The 23,163-nt window shown below is 43.2% G+C and overlaps 1 protein-coding gene and 1 long non-coding RNA gene across 2 annotated transcripts in view, besides 6 other annotated features; one reads left to right on the forward strand and one right to left on the reverse strand.

Moving 5' to 3' along the window:
- Positions 1–631: 631 nt before the first annotated feature.
- Positions 632–15,155, reverse strand: LOC105378204 (uncharacterized). Its single transcript, XR_944368.3, has 3 exons — positions 15,007–15,155; positions 10,087–10,276; positions 632–763 (listed from the first exon to the last, which is right to left on the reverse strand). It is a non-coding gene; the product is annotated as an uncharacterized LOC105378204 (long non-coding RNA).
- Positions 13,159–13,359: a silencer, noted in NCBI's record as "peak5504 fragment used in MPRA reporter construct". NCBI's record gives its function as "represses an SCP1 promoter by STARR-seq MPRAs in K562 erythroleukemia cells {active_cell/tissue: K562}" and the evidence as "EXISTENCE:reporter gene assay evidence [ECO:0000049][PMID:32103011]".
- Positions 20,498–20,999: an enhancer, noted in NCBI's record as "H3K27ac hESC enhancer chr5:141488095-141488596 (GRCh37/hg19 assembly coordinates)". NCBI's record gives its function as "activates a minimal SCP1, AML or CMV promoter by ChIP-STARR-seq in naive H9 embryonic stem cells {active_cell/tissue: H9 hESC(naive)}" and the evidence as "EXISTENCE:reporter gene assay evidence [ECO:0000049][PMID:30033119]".
- Positions 20,498–21,036: a biological region, named in NCBI's record as "H3K27ac hESC enhancer GRCh37_chr5:141488095-141488596".
- Positions 20,577–20,846: a silencer, noted in NCBI's record as "silent region_16468". NCBI's record gives its function as "represses an Ori minimal core promoter by ATAC-STARR-seq in GM12878 lymphoblastoid cells {active_cell/tissue: GM12878}" and the evidence as "EXISTENCE:reporter gene assay evidence [ECO:0000049][PMID:35858748]".
- NDFIP1 (Nedd4 family interacting protein 1) overlaps positions 20,747–23,163 on the forward strand; it is a 45,662-nt gene continuing 43,245 nt past the window's right edge. The window contains exon 1 of the mRNA NM_030571.4: positions 20,747–21,005. Within this exon, the coding sequence (NP_085048.1) occupies positions 20,943–21,005 (63 nt within the window). The 5' untranslated portion in view covers positions 20,747–20,942. The remainder of the gene's footprint in view (positions 21,006–23,163) is intronic.
- Positions 20,907–21,036: a silencer, noted in NCBI's record as "silent region_16469". NCBI's record gives its function as "represses an Ori minimal core promoter by ATAC-STARR-seq in GM12878 lymphoblastoid cells {active_cell/tissue: GM12878}" and the evidence as "EXISTENCE:reporter gene assay evidence [ECO:0000049][PMID:35858748]".
- Positions 21,107–21,176: a silencer, noted in NCBI's record as "silent region_16470". NCBI's record gives its function as "represses an Ori minimal core promoter by ATAC-STARR-seq in GM12878 lymphoblastoid cells {active_cell/tissue: GM12878}" and the evidence as "EXISTENCE:reporter gene assay evidence [ECO:0000049][PMID:35858748]".

Here is a 23,163-nt window from a genome sequence, read left to right on the forward strand (position 1 = left end):
GTTCTCCCAAGTCAGCTGTGGCCTCCCCCACCCCAGCATGCCAACATATCACAATATGCTCCCCACAATGTCCCAACATCCCAGAGGGAGAAGCAAGGTCTAATGGACATGGGAGACTACAAAACTTAATGGTGCATGAAATTAGCAATGAACACTGGGAAACGTAAGTCACAGTCCTGTTTGATCGGGGATGGGGTGAAAATCACTATCATTTCTTCAGAATAGGAGCTAAAAGCAGAGAAAAACACAGTACCCACTCATCAAAAGGAGCAGCACATTTCAGATGGTGGCCCTCCCACTCACTACTGCCCGTCACCGGTAGTGCGCTTCTGCAGCAGAAAAGGAGATAGCTAGGGCACTGCGTCGTGCCAGCCTGGCTTGGCCATTCAACTTTTGTGGTCTCTTGGCCTTTATGAGGCACCAGGGGAGGCCCTTCAGGGACAGTGACATCTGAAATCTAAACTGACTATCAACTAATGCAGAAGAACCAGCACGAGCAGATCTGAAAATGCTGCTTCCGGTTGAGTGTGTGGGAGCACCGTGGGGTTTTCCAGGTACTTACACATAGGGTATGTCATTCCTGCCCAGCATGTCTGCCAAGGTTTAACTAACAAGGGGCAAAGAGTCCTCTCCCTGAAAACGGCTTTTGGACCTCCTTCCGGCGTATCTGCAGTGGGGCTGACCGAGTACATGGCTGTCTGGTCCATAAAGGTGCTTCTTCCACCAATGTTGGGGACCAGCCTCAACACCACCCGTAGGGTACCTGAAGTCCAGTGGCGACAAAGGAATGAGAAGAGACAGGTTTAGAGTTCATAAAAGTGGGAGCCAGGGGGCCAGAGCAAATCAGAGACTGCAAAGGCCCAGAGCTCTGGTCTACACACTATTGATTACCATCACTTAGATCTAAGAAGCAGATGTTCAGTGCGAAACAGTGAAAGGGAGGCAGTGCGTCATAGGCATAATCTATAGCAATAGCGGTTTAAATGAATCTCCTTTGTGCTCAAACTGCGTATCTTTAACTTATCGGAGAGTAGCTAGTGGGAGCGGGCTTAACTAGGAGCCTGCACGTCTGTCTACATTCCAATGCTTCAAAGGAGTGTCTTTCTCCTTGAACACAGTGTTTACAGATAAGAGAGCGGGTCTTGCCCTGAGCATGGGAACATGATGGCAATTAGGCTTTCCTCCTCAGAGGCCTCTTGTGGCTTTCCACAACTTATTGTCCCATATTTTTATGGCCAGTTTATACAGGCACCCCTCAAGCCCTTCTCCCAACACACCAACCCCAGTGTCTGCCGCCCACATCGACTAACCAGACTAACCGCCCACATCGACTAACTGCCTAAAATAGCAGCATTGAACCGCCTGCTTATTCGTTTCTCCCAGAGCTACAGTTACAGGTCATCGAGGGGTCAGTGAGCCTTGGAAGGAGGGATAGAGACCTCCACAGCCACCTTTGAGCTTTTTTCTTTTGTTTCTCAATACAAACTCCAGTGTTTCAAGGTATTAAAAAAATTGCTGTCTCTCCAAAACTGGCAAATGAGGTGCACAGGAAGGAACAAGATCATTTGGTTTTCCATTGTTGATGCTACTCCCTTCCTTCCCCACAAAGATAAATACCATCTTCCAACTACACCTGCCTTCGATACATTGTGATCTGAGACTCTATCTTGTCCCTTGGAATTAGGTGGAACTGGGGTCTGGGGAAAGAGCAAACAATAGGGTGGGAGTGAGTGGGTGGGGCAAAGGCTAGGAAATCTGATTCTGGACACAGCTTTCCTTATTTTTTTGTTGAACAAATATTTCTGGTGTGCCCACCACAAACAAGATGCAATCTTTGCTCTCAAGAACTTAGAATCTAGTGGGGGACTGGGTCCCTTAAAAAACTTCGTCCTGTGTTTTGCTTCTTTGATTTTACTGAACCACGTATGTTGCAATCCTGTTAATGGCAGGATTCATAGGCAAACTCTATTAGATGTTTATGTTAATATTAAAAATTGAACCTCAAGTACATAAATAAATGAATGGAGTTGCCCCTAGTACATAAAGAAAGACATGAATAGAGTTGCTTGAGCATCACTTCCATCGTCATTGGGTCCTTCTGAGCACCCACCTAGATATAATTCCCCCAGATTACAGTTTTAACTAAATTCTTAAATTTCTTTTTTTTTTCTTTGTTATAGAGACAGGGTCCCACTATGTTGCCCAGGCTGGTCTCGAACTTTTGGACGCAAAAGATCCTCCTGCCTCAATCTCCCAAAGTGCTGGGATTATAGGCGTAAGCCACCATGCCCAGCTTAAATTTCTTAATTTAGTTTTCTCCTTGGTGGTTTAAATTAGCATAGACTAATAGGATTAAGGCCTTCACAAATGAAATTACATTTGGCTTTAAAGAAACAAGGTTGTGGCCTGGCTTGGTGACTCACGCTGGTAGTCCCAGCATTTTGGGAGGCTGAGGTGGGTGGATCACTTGAGGTCAGGAGTTCAAGACCAGCCATGGCCAACGTGGTGAAACCCCATCTCTACTAAAAGTACAAAAAAATTAGCCAGGCATGGTGGCGCATGCCTGTAATCCCAGCTACTCAGGAGGCTGAGGCAGGAGAATCACTTGAACCCGGGAGATGGAGGTTGCAGTGAGCCGTGATCGTGCCACTGCAATCTAGCCTGGGCGACAGAATGAGACTCCGTCTCAAAAAAATAAAAGAAGGTTGTGGGCAAATAAACTTTTTAATCATCCTGAAAAGATGGCTTACAGGACTGATACTGCAGATAAGTATATGATTTTATGCAAAACATAAAGTTATTTTTAAGAGAAGTATATAGTATACGTAAAAACTTGTACAAGAAGGTTCATAGCAGCATTATTCATAGTAGGCAAAAGTGTAAATGATGAAAATGTCCATCAACTGATGAATGAATAAACAAAGTGTGGTATATCCATAGAAAAGAATATTTGACAATAAGAAGAAATGAAGTATATCTACATGCTATAATATGAATGAACTTGGAAAACATGCTAAATGAAAGAATCTAGTCACAAAAGGTTACATACTATGTAATCCCGTTTACATGAAATGTCCAAAACATGCAAACCCACATAGAGACAGAAAGTAGATTAGTGGTTGCCAGGGGCTGGAGGGGAGGAATGGGGAGTGACTGCTTAATGAACATATGTTTTGTTTTTTGGATGATGAAAATGCTTTGGAATTAGATAGAGGTGATGATTGCACAACATAATGAAGGTGCTAAATGGCACTGAATTAAACACTTTAAAATGATTAATTTCATGGTATATGAACCTTACCTCAATTTAAAAAAAGAAAGAAATTAAATGTGGATATATACTGTACTGTAGATGAATTTTGAAAACATCCTAAGTGAGAGAAGCCAGATACAAAAGGCTGCATATTGTATGATTCCATGTATATGAAATGTTCTTTGTGGGGTGATGGAAATGTTCCGTCAAAGAACAAAATTTCAACAAATTTAATTTTAAAGATCTAATTGGCTTTTATTAGTAATTCATGAACTGAGCAGCATCCAGTCTAAAACAAAGAAGGCTGGGCATGGTGGCTCACACTTATACTCCCTGTGCTTTGGGAGGCTGAGGTGGGAGGATTGCTTGAGGCCAAGAGTTCAAGACCAGCCTGAGCAACAAACAAAGCAACAGCCCACGCCCCCGCACTGCCACCAAAACAATTAGCCAGCCATGTAGGTATGGCAGCATGTATCTATAGTCCTGGCTACTCAGGACACTAAAGCTGGAGGATCACTTGAGCTCACGAGTTTGAGACTACAGGGAACTATATCATGCCACTGCATTCCAGCCTGGGCAAAAAAGACCCTGTTTCAATAAATAAATAAATAAAGTAAAACACAGAAAAGAGCTCTCACAAGCTACACAGAATGGGTGAATTTCACACGTAGAAAAAAATGCAGGAAAGAAGAAACAATGAACCAACAGTATGTTAATCATTTCAAGATTACTTTCCTTGTAGAGGTGTATAGGAAATCCTGTTGGCTTTATGGGATTTGGCCATTGCCTTTCTCCTGGTTTCTCAGAAGGTCAAATCTTATAAATAAACAACTTAGGTTTCAGTTTGGTGGCATAGAACCTTAGCATGAGTGACACCATGTTGGACCTGCTGTCTTTTAATAGTTCTAAAATTGATTGTGGTGAAGGTTACACAACTGTGAATATATTTAAAGCCACTGAATTGTATATTTTAAGTGAGTGAATTGTATGGTATACGAATTATATGTTAATAAAGCTGATATAAGAATATGTAAAAATTTCAGCTTTTAAAAAATTGAATAATTTCAGGGGTAATTAGGACAGCTTACTATCTGTAGCCTGAACAGTTCTATTTCCTTACGTTATCTAGTTTGTATGTTGAAGTCTTTGTGAATTGTCTTCTAAAAAACAGGACACTAATAAACATATGGAGAGGTGAGTGAAAAAGAAGTGGGGGGCCAAGCACAGTGGCTCACGCCTGTAATCTCAGCACTTTGGGAGGCTGAGGTGGGTGTATCACTTGAGGTCAGAAGTTTGAGACCAGCCTAGGCAACATGATGAAACCGCGTTGCTACTAAAAATACAAAAATTAGCCGGGCATGGTGGCACGCGCCTGTAGTCCCAGCTACTGGGAGGGGGTGGGGGTGCTGAGGCAGGAGAATCGCTTGAACCTGGAAGGCAGAGGTTGCAGTGAGCTGAGATTGTGTCACTGTACTCCAGCCTGGGCAACAAAGCAAGACTTCTTCTCAAAAAAAAAAAAAAAAAAAAAAAAAAAAAGGAAAGAAAGAAAAGAAAAAAGGTGGGATTCCAGAAATAAAGGAGACTTTTAAAATGGTCATTTAACAAATGGTATGGAATCCAGCTAACCATTAAAAAAAAAAAATCTGGATTACTAGCTTCCTTACCCCTAAATAAATTACTTGATCAGATATGTCCGTGTAAAAAAGAAACCATAAAAACACTAAGGAAAATAGAGCTAAGTATTTTTGTGATTTTGGGGGTGAAGACCTTCCTAAGCCTAAAAAAGAAAAAAAAAAAAAAAAAAAGGAGGGATACATTTGACTACATTTTAAAAATGTTCCCAGGTGCGGTGGCTCATGCCTGTTATTCAAGCACTTTGGAAGGCTGAGGCGGGTGGATCACTTGAGGTCAGGATTTCGAGACCAGCCTGGCCAACATGGTGAAACCGTGTCTTTATTAAAAATACAAAAATCAGCCAGGCATTGTGGCACATGCCTGTAATCCCAGCTACTTGGGAGGCTGAGGCAGGTGAATTGCTTGAACCCAGGAGGTGGAGGTTGCAGTGAGCTGAGATTGTGCCACTGCACTCTAGCCTGGGCGACAGAGTGAGACTTTGTCTCAGAAAGAAAAAAAAAAAAAAGCGAAAGAACTTCAATATGGCAAATAATGCTGCCGAGTAGACTCAAAGACAAATGATAAGCTGTGAAAAATATTTGCAATAAACAAAGGGTAATATTCCTAATATATAGAGAATGCTTATAGATCAAAGACTAATTATAAAAAGATATAAATAGGCGTGTGCATTGGATTAGCAAAGATTTTTCTCTCTTTTCTTTTTCTCTTTTTTTTAAATTTTTTTTGAGACGGAGTCTTGCTCTGTCACCCAGGCTAGAGTGCAGTGGCGTGATCTCAGCTCACTGCAAGCTCTGCCTCCTGGGTGAAAGGGATTCTCCTGCCTCAACCTCCTGAGTAGCTGGAACTACAGGCGCCCGCCACCACGCCTGGCTAATTTTTTAAATATTTTCAGTAGAAAACACGGGTTTCACTGTGTTAGCCAGGATGGTCTCAATCTCCTGACTTCGTGATCCACCCTCCTCGGCCTCCCAAAGTGCTAGGATTACAGGCATGAGCCACTACACCCGGCCCCTTTCTTTTCTTTAAAATAGAGACAGGGTCTGTGTTGTCCTGGCTCATCACAAACTCCTGAGCTCAAATAATCCTCCCACCTTGGCCTCCCAAAATGCTGGGATTATAGGCATTAGCCACCACACTCGATCAGATTAGCAAAGACTTTTTTAAAATTGCCAATAACCAATGTTGGTAAGAGTGTGGAAAAATGAGTACTGGTGTGCCCTGCTGGTGGGAATATTAATCAGTACAATCTCCCTGGAGAGCACTTTAGCAATGTAGATCAAGAATCTAAAAAAGTACTATATCTGAAAAACAGTAATTTCATTTATAGATATCCATTTTAAGGAAATAATCAAAGATGGACAAAAAAAATTTATATATAAGGAGGCCGGGTACAGTGGCTCATGCCTGTAATAACAGCACTTTGGGAGGCTGAGGTGGGCAGATGATTTGAGCCCAGGAGTTTGAGACCAGCCTGGGCAACTTGGCAAAACCCCATCTCTACTAAAAATGCAAAAAATTAATCGGCCATGGTGGTGTGCACCTGTAGTCCCAGCTACTCAGCAGGCTGAGGTGGAAGGATCACCTGATGAGCCCAGGAAAGTCGGGGCTGCAGTGAGCCGTGTCTCACTACTCACTCCAGCCTCGACCATGGGAGTGAGACTCTGTCTCAAAAAAAAAAAAAAAAAAAAAAGAGTACTCTGGCCTTCTAAAAATAGTGCTTTTCAGGAGCACAGTGATTCCCAGGAACAGAAACTATCACCAAAGTGACCTCTAGTTTATGGTTGGGGGAAAGGAGGGTGGCAGAGAGTGAGCACAATAGAAATGGGCCCATCTTTATTTTTTGTATTCAAACAATTGTTTACCTTCAAACTATATTCACTATATGTGGACAGCAAATGGAGTCTTTTAAACAGAGAAAGCTGCCAATGGAGTAAGAATTAAATATCTATTTATTGAAGGAGTGAATACATGAATAAAATAAAGATAACTGAAACACTTCTAACATGACAAAGTGTTCAGTGGAGCTCAAGCATTGCATGGTACTGGCGAGAAGCTAGCAAACACGTCTTTTCTTAGTGTTGAGACCAACTCCAGGTTAACAAGGTACAGAATCAACTGGGAGAGACTCCCATGGGTGAACAGGCTCTTTTTCTTTGTCTCCTCAATTCTGCTGGCTTGCTTCAAACTCAATTTTAGCTGGTGTGAGCCCAGCCCAGCTTCAGGCCTGCTCTCTGCAATCATTCTAATGTCATCTCAGCACACAAGGAGTTACCCACGGAAAGCCCACACCAGGAAAAACTTCCCCGAGTTTCTGTGGCCGGAAAATCTGTGTCACCAGAGGTATCACTAGAGAAGTCTCCCTTCCACCCACTGCAATTTTGAAGAATCAGGGAACACATGCAGAGACACATGATAGTTCCTGGTATCTGCAATTTATAAAACACATTTATATACATTGTCCCATTTTGCCGATCTTTAGGAGGTGAAAGACCAGGACAAGACCCACATCCTTTTCCCTGAAGTCATTCTGCTTTAGAGAAAGCAATTTTTGTCAAAGCTGATATGAAAGGTCTTTCCTTCCTGGCAAGAGACACTATTGTCCCTTCCTGAAGAAGGAAGTCTAGTCTTCAGGTAAGAGGAAGGTATATTCTTAGGCAGCTGCTGGGTTGGAAGGAAGGAACAGTGAAGTCTGTGTTTTGGAAGGGAGGAGGGAGTGACATTTTTAAGTTACAAGCCTCTTCTGGGAGAGCTGGGGACAGATCTATTTTTAGATGTGTTCCCTGACACCCAGGAAGAACTCAAAAGGTAACCAAGCACTTGGCAGGTTTCCTGAAAAGAAAGTTGTTAAGGGCTAGAGGGACTCTGTGTGTTCTGAGGCACGAAGTTTGACTTCAATCTGATGCAGTGTGTTGCCCGCCCCGCCTTTTAGCATAGTTTGGTTGCAGGATGACAGAATACTTGGGGGTGGCACAAACCCTCAAATCATGAAAGGCTAGGCCGCAGACTCACAGAGAGCTGGATGATGTGTGCCACCCTAAAACCACTTCCTGGGTGCGTGATTATGGGCATGTGACTTAACTCCTTTGAGCTCAGTTTCCTCATCTGTAAAATGAAGACTCAAACCAAATAAAGTCCTCTTAGCCCTAATCTTCTAACAACACACACACAGGCCAGGCGTGGTGAGTAATCCGTGCACTTTGGGAGGCCAAGGTGGGTGGATCACCTGAGGTCAGGAGTTCGAGACCATCTTGGCCAACATAGTGAAACCCCATCTCTACTAAAACTACAAAAATTAGCTGGGTGTGCTGGTGGACACCTGTAATCCTAGCTACTCAGGAGGCTGAGGCAGGAGAATCACTTGAACCCAAGAGGTGGAGGTTGCAGTGAGCCAAGATTGTGCCACTGCCCTCCAGCCTGGGTGACAGAGTGAGATTCCATCTCAAAAAATAAAAATAATAAAACATAATAATAACAAACACAAAATAACCTCCATATGACCTGTTCTTTCACTCATAGAACAGAGATAGAAGTAGACACTACCTCATGTGTTTATTTTAATAAAAAAAGATGATAAATATAAAATTGTTCGGCACAGTCCCTCACTTAAAGTAACTGCTCAAGTCATGTGTTATTCAAACAGCATTCTTGGGACTCATGACGTCAGAGGCCCCTTGTTAGGGCATTGAACAATAAAAAATGTGCCTTACAACTTTTTATGGTGAAATACATCAAGGAGAATGTAACCTGGTGTTCTGGAGCAGCTATAAACTAATCTGACCATGCTTGCTGATGAAGTGATACTGGCTCACCAGGTAAAGGCAAGAGGGTGTTTGGTGTGTCGAGAGCCAAAAACACAGCCTCCCTCAGCCATGAAGCAGGTGGCCTATTATTCTGCTAGAAATGGAAATCCAAGGTTTTGTGGCCTGTTTTGCCATAAGGAACTCAGGAAAGGCCTCATTGCCAGGTGGTGTCTTACCTTGTACCCCGATTCTTTTTTTTTTTTTTTGAGATGGCGTTTTGCTCTTGTTGCCCAGGCTGGAGTGCAATGGCTCGATCTTGGCTCACTGCAACCTCCGCCTCCTGGGTTCAAGCAATTCTCCTGCCTCAGCCTCCCAAGTAGCTGGGATTACCGGCATGGGCCACCATGCCTGGCTAATTTTGTATTTTTAGTAGAGACGGGGTTTCTCCATGTTAGTCAGGCTGGTCTCGAACACCTGACCTCAGGTGATCCGCCCACCTCGGCCTCCCAAAGTGGTGGGATTACAGGTGTGAGCCACTGCGCCCAGCCACCTTGTACCCCGATTCTTTCATAACAGTGCTCACTCCAGGGGAGGAAGTTGACACGGAGAGGGGCTTGTCTTTGCTGCTCTCTGTGGGTTTTAGTTACTGAAGATGTGACAAAGGACTGTCCCAACTTGGGGATAAGGTTAGGGAGAAGTTATGAATAACTGGGCCAGGATTTCTATTGTACTTAAAAAAACTCAGCAGCCAGGCATGGTGGCTCACGCCTCTAATTCCAGCACTTTGGGAGGCCAAGGCAGGTGGATCACCTGAGGTCAGGAGTTCGAGACCAGCCTAGCCAAAATGATGAAACCTGTCTCTGCTAAAAATACAAAAATCAGCTGGGCGTGGTGGCTCACGCCTGTAATCCCAGCTACTAGGGAGGCTGAGGCAGGAGAATTGCTTGAACCTGGGAGGCGGAGGTTGCAGCGAGCCAAGCTCGTGCCACTGCACTTCCAGCCTGGGCAACAGAGCAAGACTCTGTCTAAAAACAAAACAAAACAAACAAAACAAAAACTCAGGTATTATTTTCTGGTCCTCGTGTAATCTTATTTAGAACTAGAGATTCTCTTGTACTTTGCCTGAGGCCTGCTGAGTCACCTGAGCAGAGCTCCCTGAAGACTTGTAGTAACCAGCGTGCATGCCCACAAGCTGCTGCTGAGTGCAAGCCAACACGGCTTCTTCCACTAAGGGCCCCTGAGGGTCACTTCTCTTCTGCGTCATAATTAACACATATGCGTCTCCCCTGACACACTGCAGAGCTCCTAGCTTTAGCATTTCCCGTGTGCAATCGTGTTTCTGCTGATACTCTCTAAATACAGTGAGAAAACTACCGTCCTAGGAAATGTGAGAACCCCTTGACTTATCTTACGAATCAGTGTGGGAGCTTGGAGAAGTGAAGCACCTTCTCTACTCACCTTGTTCTCTTTTCAAGGCACTTGGTTAAGACAACTGGTTGGAACATTGTGTCCAAAGATGAGGTTCAGAGACTTCATTTCCTTGTAGATGAACACTACGCTGTTCCTCATTTCTTGGCCACCCACAACACCTTGTAAGGGAGGAAAAAATAATTTTCCTTCCACCCTTCTAAGTTATCTGCTGGGGCTCCTGTAACAAAAGACAGATTAACAAGAGAAAAAACAAACAGAAGTTTACTAACGTGTATCTTGGCTCATTCCTGTAATCTCAGCACTTTGGAAAGCCAAGGTGGGTAAATCACTTAAGTCCAGCAATTTGAAACCAGCCTAGGCAACATAGCGAAACTCCATCTCTTAAAAAAAAAAAAAAACAAAAAACAGAGAAAGAAATATTTTTTTAAAAAAAAGAAGAAGAAGAAAAACAAAAGAAGTTTACTAACAGGTATATCTCATATAAACCTGGGCAGTCAGGGAAATGAGTAACTCTCAGAGAGGTGGCTTAGAATTCAGGCTTAAATACCATCTTCAGCTAAATCAGTGAAAGAATTGTGTGGTGGAGGTAAATTATGAGAAGGCAACCAGGAAATGTACAGTAAACAAGGGTAAGCTTTGTTATGCAGATATAAGTTGGTGCCTTCTCCACTGATAAGAATTTCTTGTGATTTAGAATATCTTTCTCTTCCTAGTACAGAGAAAGACATCCCTACACATGGAGATTTCCTTTATAAATGTAAATTTCCCTTTCAAATGGGAAACTTCTCTGTTTTCAGAGATTCTCCCATGTCTGCTATTTCCTAAAATAATTGGTTCAAAATAATCCTTATGCCAAAGAAGTATATTTTGGGGTAGCATATTCTGTTCTTTTACAATCCCTAAATATACAGTGAACACTAAGCCATTTGTCAGAGGAGGAATCACTTAAAGATTTTATGGAGTCACTCTTATAGGAGCCTAGGTTGTATATTACCCAATGCAGAGTGTGTGGTTGGGGAGAGGGTGTTGTTTGCATAGACTGCAATGTGATGGATAACCTGGAGTTGGACAGTACACAATTTGCACAATCAGATGTGGCAGCCCATGGGGACTAACTATAGCATCACTCCTGGGAAGGGGAAATTCCCAAACTTAAAGCATATATTCTGTTTAGGATGGAGGAGTTTGTTTGGCATATTTATAATTGAATGTTAGTGACAACCCTTGGAAGGAATTTCTCTATTGTTCTTGGTATCATCTCTTGTTTTATTTAGCTCAGGGTCACTATCAATTGTATAACCAATCAGGTCTCCATTTTAATTGGATGCCAAGTTTACGGTACACTTGTAATGTATAAATTCATTTTTGTGTTAACCTTATTCTTGGTGTTATTTTAATTCTATGAAGAACTATTATGGGACAGGCCCTGTTCACATGGCAACAAAAGTGAACAAGAAGACAAAGTCTATTTTATGTTGCTACTCTTGTTTTGCTTTTTCTTTCTCATCTACTTCTAATTTGTGATTTCTTGCTATACAGTAACCTCCTAAATCCTTTCAGGATCAAGTGCATAAAATAAGTGGATATTATAAATATATATACACCTAAAAATAGAGCAGCAAAATACACAAATCAAAACTGACACAATTGAAGGGACAAATAGACAATCAATAGCAGTAGTTGGAGACTTCAACAAACTGCTTTCAATACAGTGAGAACAACTAAGTAGAAGATCAATAAAAAGATAGAAGTCTTTTTTTTTTTTTTTTGAGACAGAGTATTGCTCTGTCGCCCAGGCTGGAGTGCAGTGGCATGATCTCAGCTCGCTGCAACCTCTGCCTCCCGGGTTCAAGCAATTCTTCTGTCTCAGCCTCCCGAGTAGCTGGGACTACACATGTGTGCCACCACTCCCGGCTAATTTTTGTATTTTTAGTAGAGAAGAGGTTTCACCATTTTGGCCAGGCTGGTCTCGAACTCTTGACCTCATGATCTGCCCGCCTCAGACTCCCAAGGAAATAGAAGTCTTACACCATACTATAAGCCAGCTAAAGCTAATAGATACCTATAGAACTGTTGGGGCTCAGAAAATAATACACCAAAATATGGCGTATTATTTGAATACTGAGCACTTTGAATTAAAGGAAATTGAAAGCCTTAGAAGTGACCTCAGAATCAGTGTCTCTCTGACCTTCTCTTGTTTCTCCCCACAAGGGTGGGGACAGGCTCTCTCTGAAGGTCCCTTATCTCATTGAGGGAAGTTCTTTCAAAATAAACACAATTGTCTTTAATCCACTGTTTAAAATCTCATTGCCAGCTGGGGCACAGTGGCTCATGCCTGTAATCCCAGCATTTTGGAAGGCTGAGGTGGGCGGATCACTTGAGGTCAGGAGTTCAAGACCAGCCTGGCCAACAGGGCAAAACGCCATCTCTACTAATAATACAAAAATTCACCAGGCATGGTGTTGGGCGTCTATAATCCCAGCTACTCGGGAGCCTAAGGCATGAGAATGGCTTGAACTCGGGAGGCGGAAGTTGCAGTGAGCCGAGATCATCCCACTGTACTCCAGCATGGGTGACAGACTGAAACTGCATCTCAAAAAAATAAAAATAAAAATAAATAAATAAATAAATCTCATTGCCTAGGGAAGATAAATCAGGAAGAAGAAACAAAAGGTTGTCACTACACCCACCCAAGCAAACTTATCATATTGCCTGAGAGACCTTATTTGCATACTAAGACAATATTTGCATTGCAGTTCTGTCCCCTCACCTTCCCATAACTTGTCACCACCTTCCCCAGAGCTCAGAGGACCTTTGTCCCAGGCTATTGTCTTTTCTTTGGGCCCATTCATCTCCCCTAAAAATTACTTATTCTTTGTATTAGTCCATTTTCACATGGCTGTAAAGAACTGCCCATGACTGGGTAATTTGTAAAAGAAAGAGGCTTAATTGACACACAATTCAGCATGGTTGGGAAGTCCTCAGGAAACTTACAATCATGGCAGAAGGCAAAGGGGAAGCAAGGCAATGCTTCCCCACAAGGCAGCAGGAAGGAGAAGTGCTGAGCAAAGGGGGAAGAGCCCCTTATAAAACCATCAGATCTCACGAGATCTCACTCACCATCATGAGAACAGCCTGGAGGAAACTGCCCCCAAGAATCAATTACCTCCACTTGGTCTCTCCCTTGACACATGGGGATTAGAATTCAAGATGAGATTTGGGTGGGGACGCAAAGCCTAACCATATGAAGAGTGATAACTCTTCCTCTAAAATTGCCTTCATCTCCCCTGTGAAGAGGGTATTTAAACTCCATCTGTCAGGTCCTTCTTTGAGTTTCATACTTGGTGTGACTCCCATTGGCTTGCAAGTTAATAGCCTCTTCTCCTGTTAATCTTTTGTCCATTTATTTCAACAGACTCAGTTATTGAACCCTCAGAGGGAAAGTTTAAACTTCCCTAACAAACACTCCACCCAACAACAGCAGAATATATATTCTTCTCTAGCGTGCATGGAACATTCTCCAGGGTAGATTTGATAATCTAGGCCATAAAACAAACGTCAATAAATTTAAAAGGATTGAAATGATGCAAAGTATGTTCTCCAAATACAATGGGATAAAATTAGAAATAAATAACAGAAATTTGGGGGATTTGCAGATATATGGAAATCAAACCACAGTCTTAAATAACCAATGGGTGAAAGAAGAAATCACAAGAGAAATTAGAAAATACTTTGAGGCCGGGCATGGTGGCTCATGCCTGTAATCCCAGCACTTTGGGAGGGGGAGGTGGGTGGATAACTTGAGGTCAGGAGTTCAAGACCAATTAGCTGGGCGTGGTGGTGCACACCTGTAATCCCAGATACTCAGGAGGCTGAGGGGGGAGAATCACTTGAACCCGGGAGGCAGAGGTTACTGTGAGCCATTACTGCACCACTGCACTCCAGCCTGGGTGACAGAGCGAGACTCCCTCTCAAAAAAAAAAAAGAAAGAAAAAAGAAAAAAAAGAAAATATTTTGAGATGAAATTAGTTAAAGACACAACATACATGGCTGGGCACAGTGGCTCATGCCTGTAATCCCAGTACTTTGGGAGGCCAAGGCGTTTGAGGCCAGGAGTTTGATACCAGCCTGACCAACATGATGAAACCCTGTCTCTACTAAAAATACAAAAACTAGCCAGGCGTGACGGCACATGCCTGTAATCCCAGCTATTCGGGAGGCTGAGACAGGAAAATCACTTGAACCCAGGAGGCGGAGGTTGCAGTGAGCCAAGATGGTGCCACTGCACTCCAGCAGCCTGGGTGACAGAGTGAGACTCTGCCTCACACAAAAAAAGAAAGACACAACATACTGAAGCTTACGCATATGTAGCTAGAATACATAAATAACCACTTTCAGCATTTCTTAATTTCATTTTGTAGAATAAATGAGAGACCATTTTTTAAATAGTTTCAGGTTCTAGGCATAAAGTCACAGTGTTTATCTATAGTGGTGCTAAATTAATATTTGCTGAATAAATGAATCTGTGGAATTCCAGTGTCAGGAAGGTAAACCAAGGAATCAGGAGTCCCATGTTGGATTCTTATTTGACGAACCCCTTTCCTCTGACTCACCTTTTCTTTTCTTTTTTTTTTGAGACGGAGTCTTGCTCTATCCCCCAGGCTAGAGTGCAGTGGCGTGATCTGGGCTCGCTGCAAACTCTGCCTCCCAGGTTCAAGCAATTCTCCTGCCTCAGCCTCCCAAGTAGCTGGGATTGCAGGCTTGGGCCACCACACCCAGTTAATTTTTGTATTTTTAGTAGAGACAGGGTTTCGTCATGTTGGCCAGGCTGGTCTGGAACTCCTGGCCTCAGGTGATCCATCCGCCTTGGCCTCCCAAAGTGTTGGGATTACAGGTGTGAGCCAAAGCATCTGGCCTCTGACTCACTGTTTCATAAAAGCCACTTACCTGTTTATATTTTAGGATCTTTCATAAATTCTTATCTTCCTCTCTCTTTCCTTTCCTTTTCCAGTAGGTGTTCTGCATTAGTCTCTGGCTTAAACTCTCTATTTAATCTCATAGCAAATAACTTCTTTTGTCTTGCTACTAAACTAGGGGTTGGCAAACTACTGCTCAGGAGCCAAGTCCAGCCTACTGCCTGTCTTTGTTTGACCTGAGAGTTGAGAAGAGTTTTTACTTTTGTTTTTTTTTTTAATTCTATTGTGTAGAGCTGGTGTGCAGTGACGTGATCACAGCTCACTGCAGCCTCAAACTCCTATGTTCAAGTGATCCTACTGCCTCAACCTCCTGAGTAGCTGGGACCACAAGCGTTTGCTACCATGTTTGGCTAATGGCTTATTTATTTATTTATTTATTTTTGGAAAGATAGAGTTTTGCTATATTTCCCAGGCTGGTCTCAATCTCCTGGCCTCAAGTGATCCTCTGGCCTCGGCTTCACAAAGTACTGGGATTACGGGCATAAGCCACTGTGCCTGGCCAGTTTTTACTTTTTTTTTTTTTTTTTTTTATTTAAACAGAGTCTCACTCTGTCGGGCAGGCTGAAGTGCAGTGGCATGATCTCAGCTCACTACAACCTCTGCCTCCCGGGTTCAAGCGATTCTCCTGCCTCAGCCTCTGAGTAGCTGGGACTATAGGCTTGTGCCACCACACCCAGCTAATTTTTGTATTTTTAGTAAAGACGGGGTTTCACCATGTTGGCCAGGATGGTCTCGATCTCTTGACCTTGTGATCTGCCCACCTCCGCCTCCCAAAGTGCTGGGATTACAGGCGTGAGCCACCGTGCCCAGCCCAGTTTTTACATTTTTAACTAATTGGAAAAAAAAATCAAAAGAAGAATACTATTTCATGACACATAAAAATCATATGTTGAGGCTGGGCACGGTGGCTCACGCCTGTAATCCCAGCTCCTTGGGAGGCTGAGGCGGGTGGATTGCTTTAGGTCAGGAGTTTGAGACCAGCCTGGCCAACATAGCGAAACCCTGTCTCTACTAAAAATACAAAAATTAGCTGGGCGTGGTGGCAGGTGCCTGTAATCCCAGCTACTCGGGAGGCTAAGGCAGGAGAATCTCTTGAACCCAGGAGGCGAAGTTTGTGGTAAGCCAAGAACATGCCACTGCACTCCATCCAGCCTGGGCGATAGAGTGAGACTCCATCTCAAAAATAAAAAAAATAAAAAAATAAATCATACGTAATTCACATTTCAATGATCATAAATAAGACTTTATTGGAACACAGTCTTGCCACTTTGGCATTGTTTATGGCTGTGTTCACAATACAATGGCAAAGTGGAGTAGCTGCAACAGAGCTTATGGTTCACAAAGCCTAAAATATTTCTATCTATTCCTTAACATTAAAAGTTTGCTAAGTTCTAAGATTTTGTTCTAAACTAAGTTCTAAGCTTTTGTACAATTATACTCATGAGTTTGTGAAAGTTGTAAGAATCAAAATGGAGTCACTTATTCTATACCCCGACAAATAGGAGTCGGGAGGCCATAAAGGAGGGGCTCTCATGCACACATGTCTACGTTAAAATCTATTTTTAGGTTACACTTTCTGAAAACCACAACCTTGAACAAGGCCACCACAACTTTACACAAAGACGTCTGCCTAGGAACTGTCTGTTCAGCCTTGGAGTGATACCACCCTTGTTATTGATCCTTGTAGCCAAGGTTAATAGTTTCAAAACAACTTATGTAACCTTGCTCATTTTGCCTTTAAAACCTTTGCCTTCCTTTCCCTCTCTGGGTACATCCATGGCCCTTCATGAGGTGCATACATATCCCAGATTGCAATCTTGAGGATTCACAAATAAACTCACTGTCTTTGGAGAATCTCTCTGTTGTTATTTCAGGTTGACAACTTTCTCTCTTCCCATGACAGCAAAGCCCTTTTATTTCTTTCTGTTTTTTTTTTTTAGATGAAGTTTCACTCTTGTTGCCCAGGCTGGAGTGCAATGGCGCGATCTCGGCTCACTGCAACCTCCGCCTCTCAGGTTCAAGTGATTCTCCTGCCTTAGCCTCCCAAGTAGCTGGGATTACAGGCATGTACCACCACGCCCGGCTAAGTTTTTTGTATTTTTAGTAGAGATGGGGTTTCTCCATGATGGTCAGGCTGGTCTCCAACTCCCAACCTCAGGTGATCCTCCCGCCTCGGCCTCCCAAAGTGCTGGGATTACAGGCGTGAGCCACCACACCTGGCCAACAAAGCCCTTTTCTCGTTCAAAACCCTTTCTTCCCAATCCTTACCTGATTATCCCAGCTGGCCACATAATTCTCTTCACTATCTCTCAGCATTAGTTAATATAGCTCAACACAGTTGTAAATAACTTGTAAGTTTTATATTTTAAAAATGTCTCAAATAAGTGTTTACTATCATCTCTATTTCATCATGAAGACTCCAAAGGTTAGAACTTTCTATCTCCTGTCTATTTATGTCCCGTATTTCTCTCCACACCCAAAGCAGTGCATACATTTTGGAGCCAGACAAATCCCAGTTTGCGTTTCGACTCCACCGCTCACAAAGCTGAGTAGGTTATGTAAATTTCCTGAGTCTCTTCAAGAATCTGCAGAATGGGTTTGTTATGAAGATTAAGCAGATGATGTACCATCAGGTCCAAGATTCTGGAAGTGCTCCATAACAGTAGTAATTATCAGTGGATAATTTCTTTATTTGTAATATGAAGATATTACCTTTTGCTCTTAATGAACCTTGTGGTAATGTAGTGAGAATTAAAAGAAGTAGTAAGTCATAGAAATAAAACTTCATGGTTTAATTGGAGCCCTGTGAAGACTAGCTGGAGAAGTTCAAGGCCTCAAATGAGATATTAGACTAATGAGGCTTTTGTCTAAATTTAACACATTTAACAAACCCTTCTTGGTTACTTACTGAGCTCTGCACTACCTAGGTCAAGCCTCATGTGGATATGAAAGACAGAAGGTCACATTTATCCTAGAGATTTGTATCTATATTGCAGGGGGAAAGGGATACGGACATGAGTTATGCTTATACTTGTCCATGTTTCTTTTCTCTCTCAGGAGGGATGATTCAGAGTCAGCAATTCACATATGCAGTACTGCACATGGAAAGTATTACTGTTATTCTGTGGGGAAATAAGTTTCTAAGTGCAGCAATCTGAAATTAATAACTTTCTCTGTGGAAACTCTCTTGACAACATCTCGAGATGAAGCCAAAGAGCACAATTTTTATGGCTTTGGATTATCTTCTCTGTCTGCTTGGCTTGCACCAGGCATGGATCTGTGAGCCAGAAATTCAGTTTTCCCCTTCGTTGTACAATTTGCCTGCCAGCTGGAGGCCTAATATAGCAGTGACTCAATTTCTCAATTCTCCAATTTATCCACCCATCAAATCAAGGCAAATAATCTCAATTTACTTATTAGAGGCTTTGGGGAACTCAAGAAAAAAAAGACCAAAATCTTTACCGTGACTACAAAACATTTTGGTTGAGGACATAGGAAAAGGAGATTAGAAGTTGGAGATCAATTTTCTTTTACTTTCAATGCAAAATATTTCTATGATAAAGCCTGTTATTTATATTATGATAAATATTTGTGTCCACATGCAGGGAGTATATAGATATTGAGGGAGAAAGTAATTTAGGAAAGAAATAGAAGGGTAGCAACATCTTTTCCACAAAAGCCACAGCACTGCAGACATGCATAAAGATTGCAGTTGTTGCTCCAATAGCCTTATGTGGTAGGCCGACAAATTCTTTTTTCTTTTTCTTTTTTTTTTTCAGAGATTGTGTCTCACTATGTTGCCCAGGTTGGTCTCGAACTCCTGGCTCCTGGGCTCACGTGATCCTCGAGTCTCAGGCTCTCAAAGTGCTGAGATTACAGATGTGAGCCACTGTGCCCAGTGGACATTCTTTTTTATTCTTTCTTACACGTAAATGTAGACAATCTGGACAAAGAAGTCTGGATTTCTACTTTCCACTGCTGACATTTTAAAAAATTTCAAATTAGATTTTTGCACCCTTTATACAAGACTACATGGCAGGACATTATGTTTGATTCACTGTACCTGATTACATTTAAATGTTGTTTTTCTGGATTATAAACAACAACTGAGGGACAGAGTAAGGAGGCTCTAAATAGACTTGAGAGCTTGGAATGTTGCTACATTTGTTCGCTCTCCCAGCATGTTAATATGTGAGACTAATACTTGGAAATAGCGACAGATATAGAGGAGTTTGGATGCTGAGAGAGAACTCAAAGTGAAGATGGTAAACATCTAGAGTTTTTATTGATTACAATTTTCTCATATATACAGAAACCTCAGGGTGTGTTCTAAACACAGTTCTCTTTTAAAATACATAATTAACTAAACTTCAAAATTAGAAGCTAAGACAATAATCATATTAATATAACCTCTACACTGCCAACTTGGAAAGGCAATGAAGAAGAAATGGGAATTGCAACAAGCTTCAGAGATGGAAGATTTTGTTTTTCTCTGTAGGACATGTGGGTAGAAGCAATTGCAGATGGCTGGGTGTGAAAGAAACAGACCTTGCAAGCCTGCTATATAGCTATACTGTGCTACATGGCATTGGGAGGTAATAAGATTTAAAAGACAAATACTCTTGTCTTCACAAAGCTTATAATTTAGTTGTGCAATACTGGGTAAGAAAGCTGGCTTAATGGAGTTGTATTCCAGCTTCACCCCTTAGTAGCTCTGTGTCATTGGGTGAGATATTTAATTTCTTTGGGCATAACTTCCTCATCTGTGAAACACTGATAATTGTATCTCCTATATGGCAGCTATGCCAGCCTCCTTTCTGTTCTTCCACAAGACAATCTCTCTCTGGACCGCCCTTTGCACCTGTTCCTGTGGTCGGGAAAGCCTTTAGCATGGCCAAACCCTTCAAGTTTTGACTTCATGTCACCGAGTCAGGGAGCTTTTTTGGAAAATATTGTTTCCGATTCCGCAGATGAGGCTGTTAAAATACTAAAGGATGGCATAAACATGAGGATGCTATTATAATCATCCACCCTAAGTAGGATTTGAGATCCAAGCAGTTCTCAAGGATTTAGGGTTAGCAAACTTTTTCTGTAAAATGTCAGATAGCAAGTATTATAGGGTTTGCAGGCCATACCAAACAAATGGGTGCTGCTGTGTTCCAATAAAACTTTATTTATGGACACTGAAACTTGAATTTCATGTACTTTTCACAGTCATGGTGGCAGACCGGATTTGGCCCCCTCCCTGTCGCTGGCTGACCCCTGGTTTATGAGTACGGCAGATAAAAGAAGGGAGTGAATAAGAACCACGATTCTGCTGCCAGACACGAGGGATCAGGTCGCTGCTGTGAAGATTGTCAACCTCTCTGGTTGCCAACGACCTCGAGAATGGGGTTGTGGTCCCTGCGTCAGGGCGGTTGTGCTGAAGGCTGGATGAGGGCACGTAGGTGAAGCTCAGTGCTTGGCACGAGGTGCTCATCAGCAGCATCGCCCTTGCTTTGGGCTGGCCTGTTAGTAATTCGTTTTTAGTGGAATCGAATACAACACTTGAGCCTCGGAGGCTCAGGTCGTCGGAGCAACTACACCAGGGCCGGTGCACCTCGGGGCGGCGGCGCAGGACTAGGCTAGGCCGGGCCGGGCCGGGCAGGGCGGCGCGAGTCGGGGGTGGGGCGGCGGCGCAGCGCCGTCGTCGTAGTCCCCGCCTCTTCCCCAGGGGCCGCGTCGGAGCCTCGGCGGCGGCGGCGGTGCTTACAGCCTGAGAAGAGCGTCTCGCCCGGGAGCGGCGGCGGCCATCGAGACCCACCCAAGGCGCGTCCCCCTCGGCCTCCCAGCGCTCCCAAGCCGCAGCGGCCGCGCCCCTTCAGCTAGCTCGCTCGCTCGCTCTGCTTCCCTGCTGCCGGCTGCGCCATGGCGTTGGCGTTGGCGGCGCTGGCGGCGGTCGAGCCGGCCTGCGGCAGCCGGTACCAGCAGGTAAGCGGCGCCCGACTCCAGCCCCGAACTCCGGTCCCTGGCTCTGCCCTGCCCGCTGGCCGCCTCAGGCCTCTCTGGCCGGCCCGCGGCCAACTCGACGCCGGGGCTTGGCAGGCCGCGCTGGGCCTGGAGGGGCGGGTCGGGCCCCGGGCTCGGATTCGAGGCTGCCACGGGCCCGGCCTGCCCGTCTGCGACCCCAGGTGGGACTCCGGCGGTGGAAAGTCCTCCTCCCGGCCTCGTTTCCCGCATTTCCCAGGGCGGGCGGGTCCCTGAGTCAGAACCCGCGACCCACAGGCGGCATCGATCTGAGGCATTCGTTTTTCATTTTTCCACCTTTGGTTTGATGTCATTGGAAAAGAAAGAAAGAAAAAAGCATGAAACGGAAACTGGGTGGAGAGAAAAGATTAAAATCTCTGCTGCTGCCGATAGCTCCCCACAGCAAGATGCTATTGCTCAGGGTTTCAGAGCCTAGTTTGTCGAAACCCATCCCCCTCGCCTCCGTTTTAAGACAAAAGTAAAAAATGAAGCAAGAGACAAGCCCGCAGTTTGCAGTAGATTTGGAAGAGGCGATGTTTGGCTGTGGTGATGCCCCAAAAGGGAGAGCTACGATGAAGTCTGCAGGGCGTGTGCCGGGTGTATTTTAAATGCTTGGAAGTGACGTTTTAAGAGATTTGATGGCATAGCTGGGGAGGAAATGTATAGGAAATGATTGGATCATTTTCTCGGGTTTGATTTAATACATTGAGGCCCCAGGGAAAAGAGCTGCTTGTTTCACTCCGCGTCTGTAGCTAAGTTCCCCCAGGAAATTTAGAGACCTTCTGCAGGGTTTTTGGAAGTGTTAATCTAACATACAGTAATGGTGGGAATTGAGCCAGGTGGTAAACTGATGTTGATTGGAACCGCAAATAACGGCTTGTGTTTGTCATGTTTCAGATGCTTTCGGTGCATACAGATGTCAATCCTCCTTTTATCAAATAAAATGTCCTATCTTAGACGATCTACAATTTTATATTTTAGAAGTAAGGAAAGCCAGCCAGTACGATGAAAACGTAGATTAACCCTGGTGCGGCCGGCCGGTTACTGGTTTGTTTTGCTATCATCAGCCATGTGTTGCAATCCGTCCCCACTCAGGCTTGGACTCCCAAAATGACTAGTTAAGAATTTCACTTCTTGGTTTTATAAACACGGCCCAAATTGTGGCAATGCAGTTAATCCTTAGATCTCTTCAGAGCACATGGATCTAGCACATGCTTTTTTTCTATGACCTTGGGCAGCCTGCGGGTTCCTTACTGCTTTAATAAAATGGGAATAACAGATGCCACTTAACTGTCACCACAGTGTTTGCAAATCACCCCTACTGTATACTGTCATCTGATTTCATCCTTTTCATCCTGACTTGGATAAGGCTAACGAGCAAAAGAGCTGTGGTTTTTCTTTGTACTGCCATCTTCTTGAGCTATTAGGTAATGCTGACATACTGCTAGAATATAAAAAATTTGCTGGAGTATCAAAATCATGTATTCCTTAGTGTGGCATTTAATATTTTTTAATTATGCAGAATTGAAGTATAAAAAAAAGAGAAAAAAATCTTCCTAGAAAAATTGTAAAAGATGAAAGCCCAAAAAACTGCAAAACCCTCCCTAAACAAAAACCAAATAGATAACCAAAGGTAATATTTTAATGTGCATTCTTGTGGGTTTATAGCTATGTAAATATACATAGTTATAGATCAGTATATGTGTGTACAGATAAGGAATGCAGGAAAGCTAATATTGATTTTTTTATGCAACAATCACAGTATTAAGTAATTTACATCCATTTTTTTTTTCTTTTAATTCATACCAAACCCTTATGAACCAGGGTTTGTTCTCATTGTCAAAGACTCAAAGTGGCTCAGTAACTTGCCTCAAGGTCACAGGCTGCTAAGTAGTGATTATAAGGATATACACACACTCACCTACTTAAAACACAGGCTCACAGTCCAGATATAGGTGTATGCATTAGCAGATATATACACATGCATATGTATTCTCTTATGTACCCATATATACGTATACAGACATATCTTTGTACATTTGTGTGCAGTTTTATGAGCCCCGATCATACTTGCACATACTTTTGCACGTGTCCATGTGTATCTTGTTCTCAGACATGTGCA

The sequence above is a fragment of the Homo sapiens genome, chromosome 5, assembly GCF_000001405.40.
Source record: "Homo sapiens chromosome 5, GRCh38.p14 Primary Assembly".
NCBI lineage: Eukaryota > Metazoa > Chordata > Mammalia > Primates > Hominidae > Homo > Homo sapiens.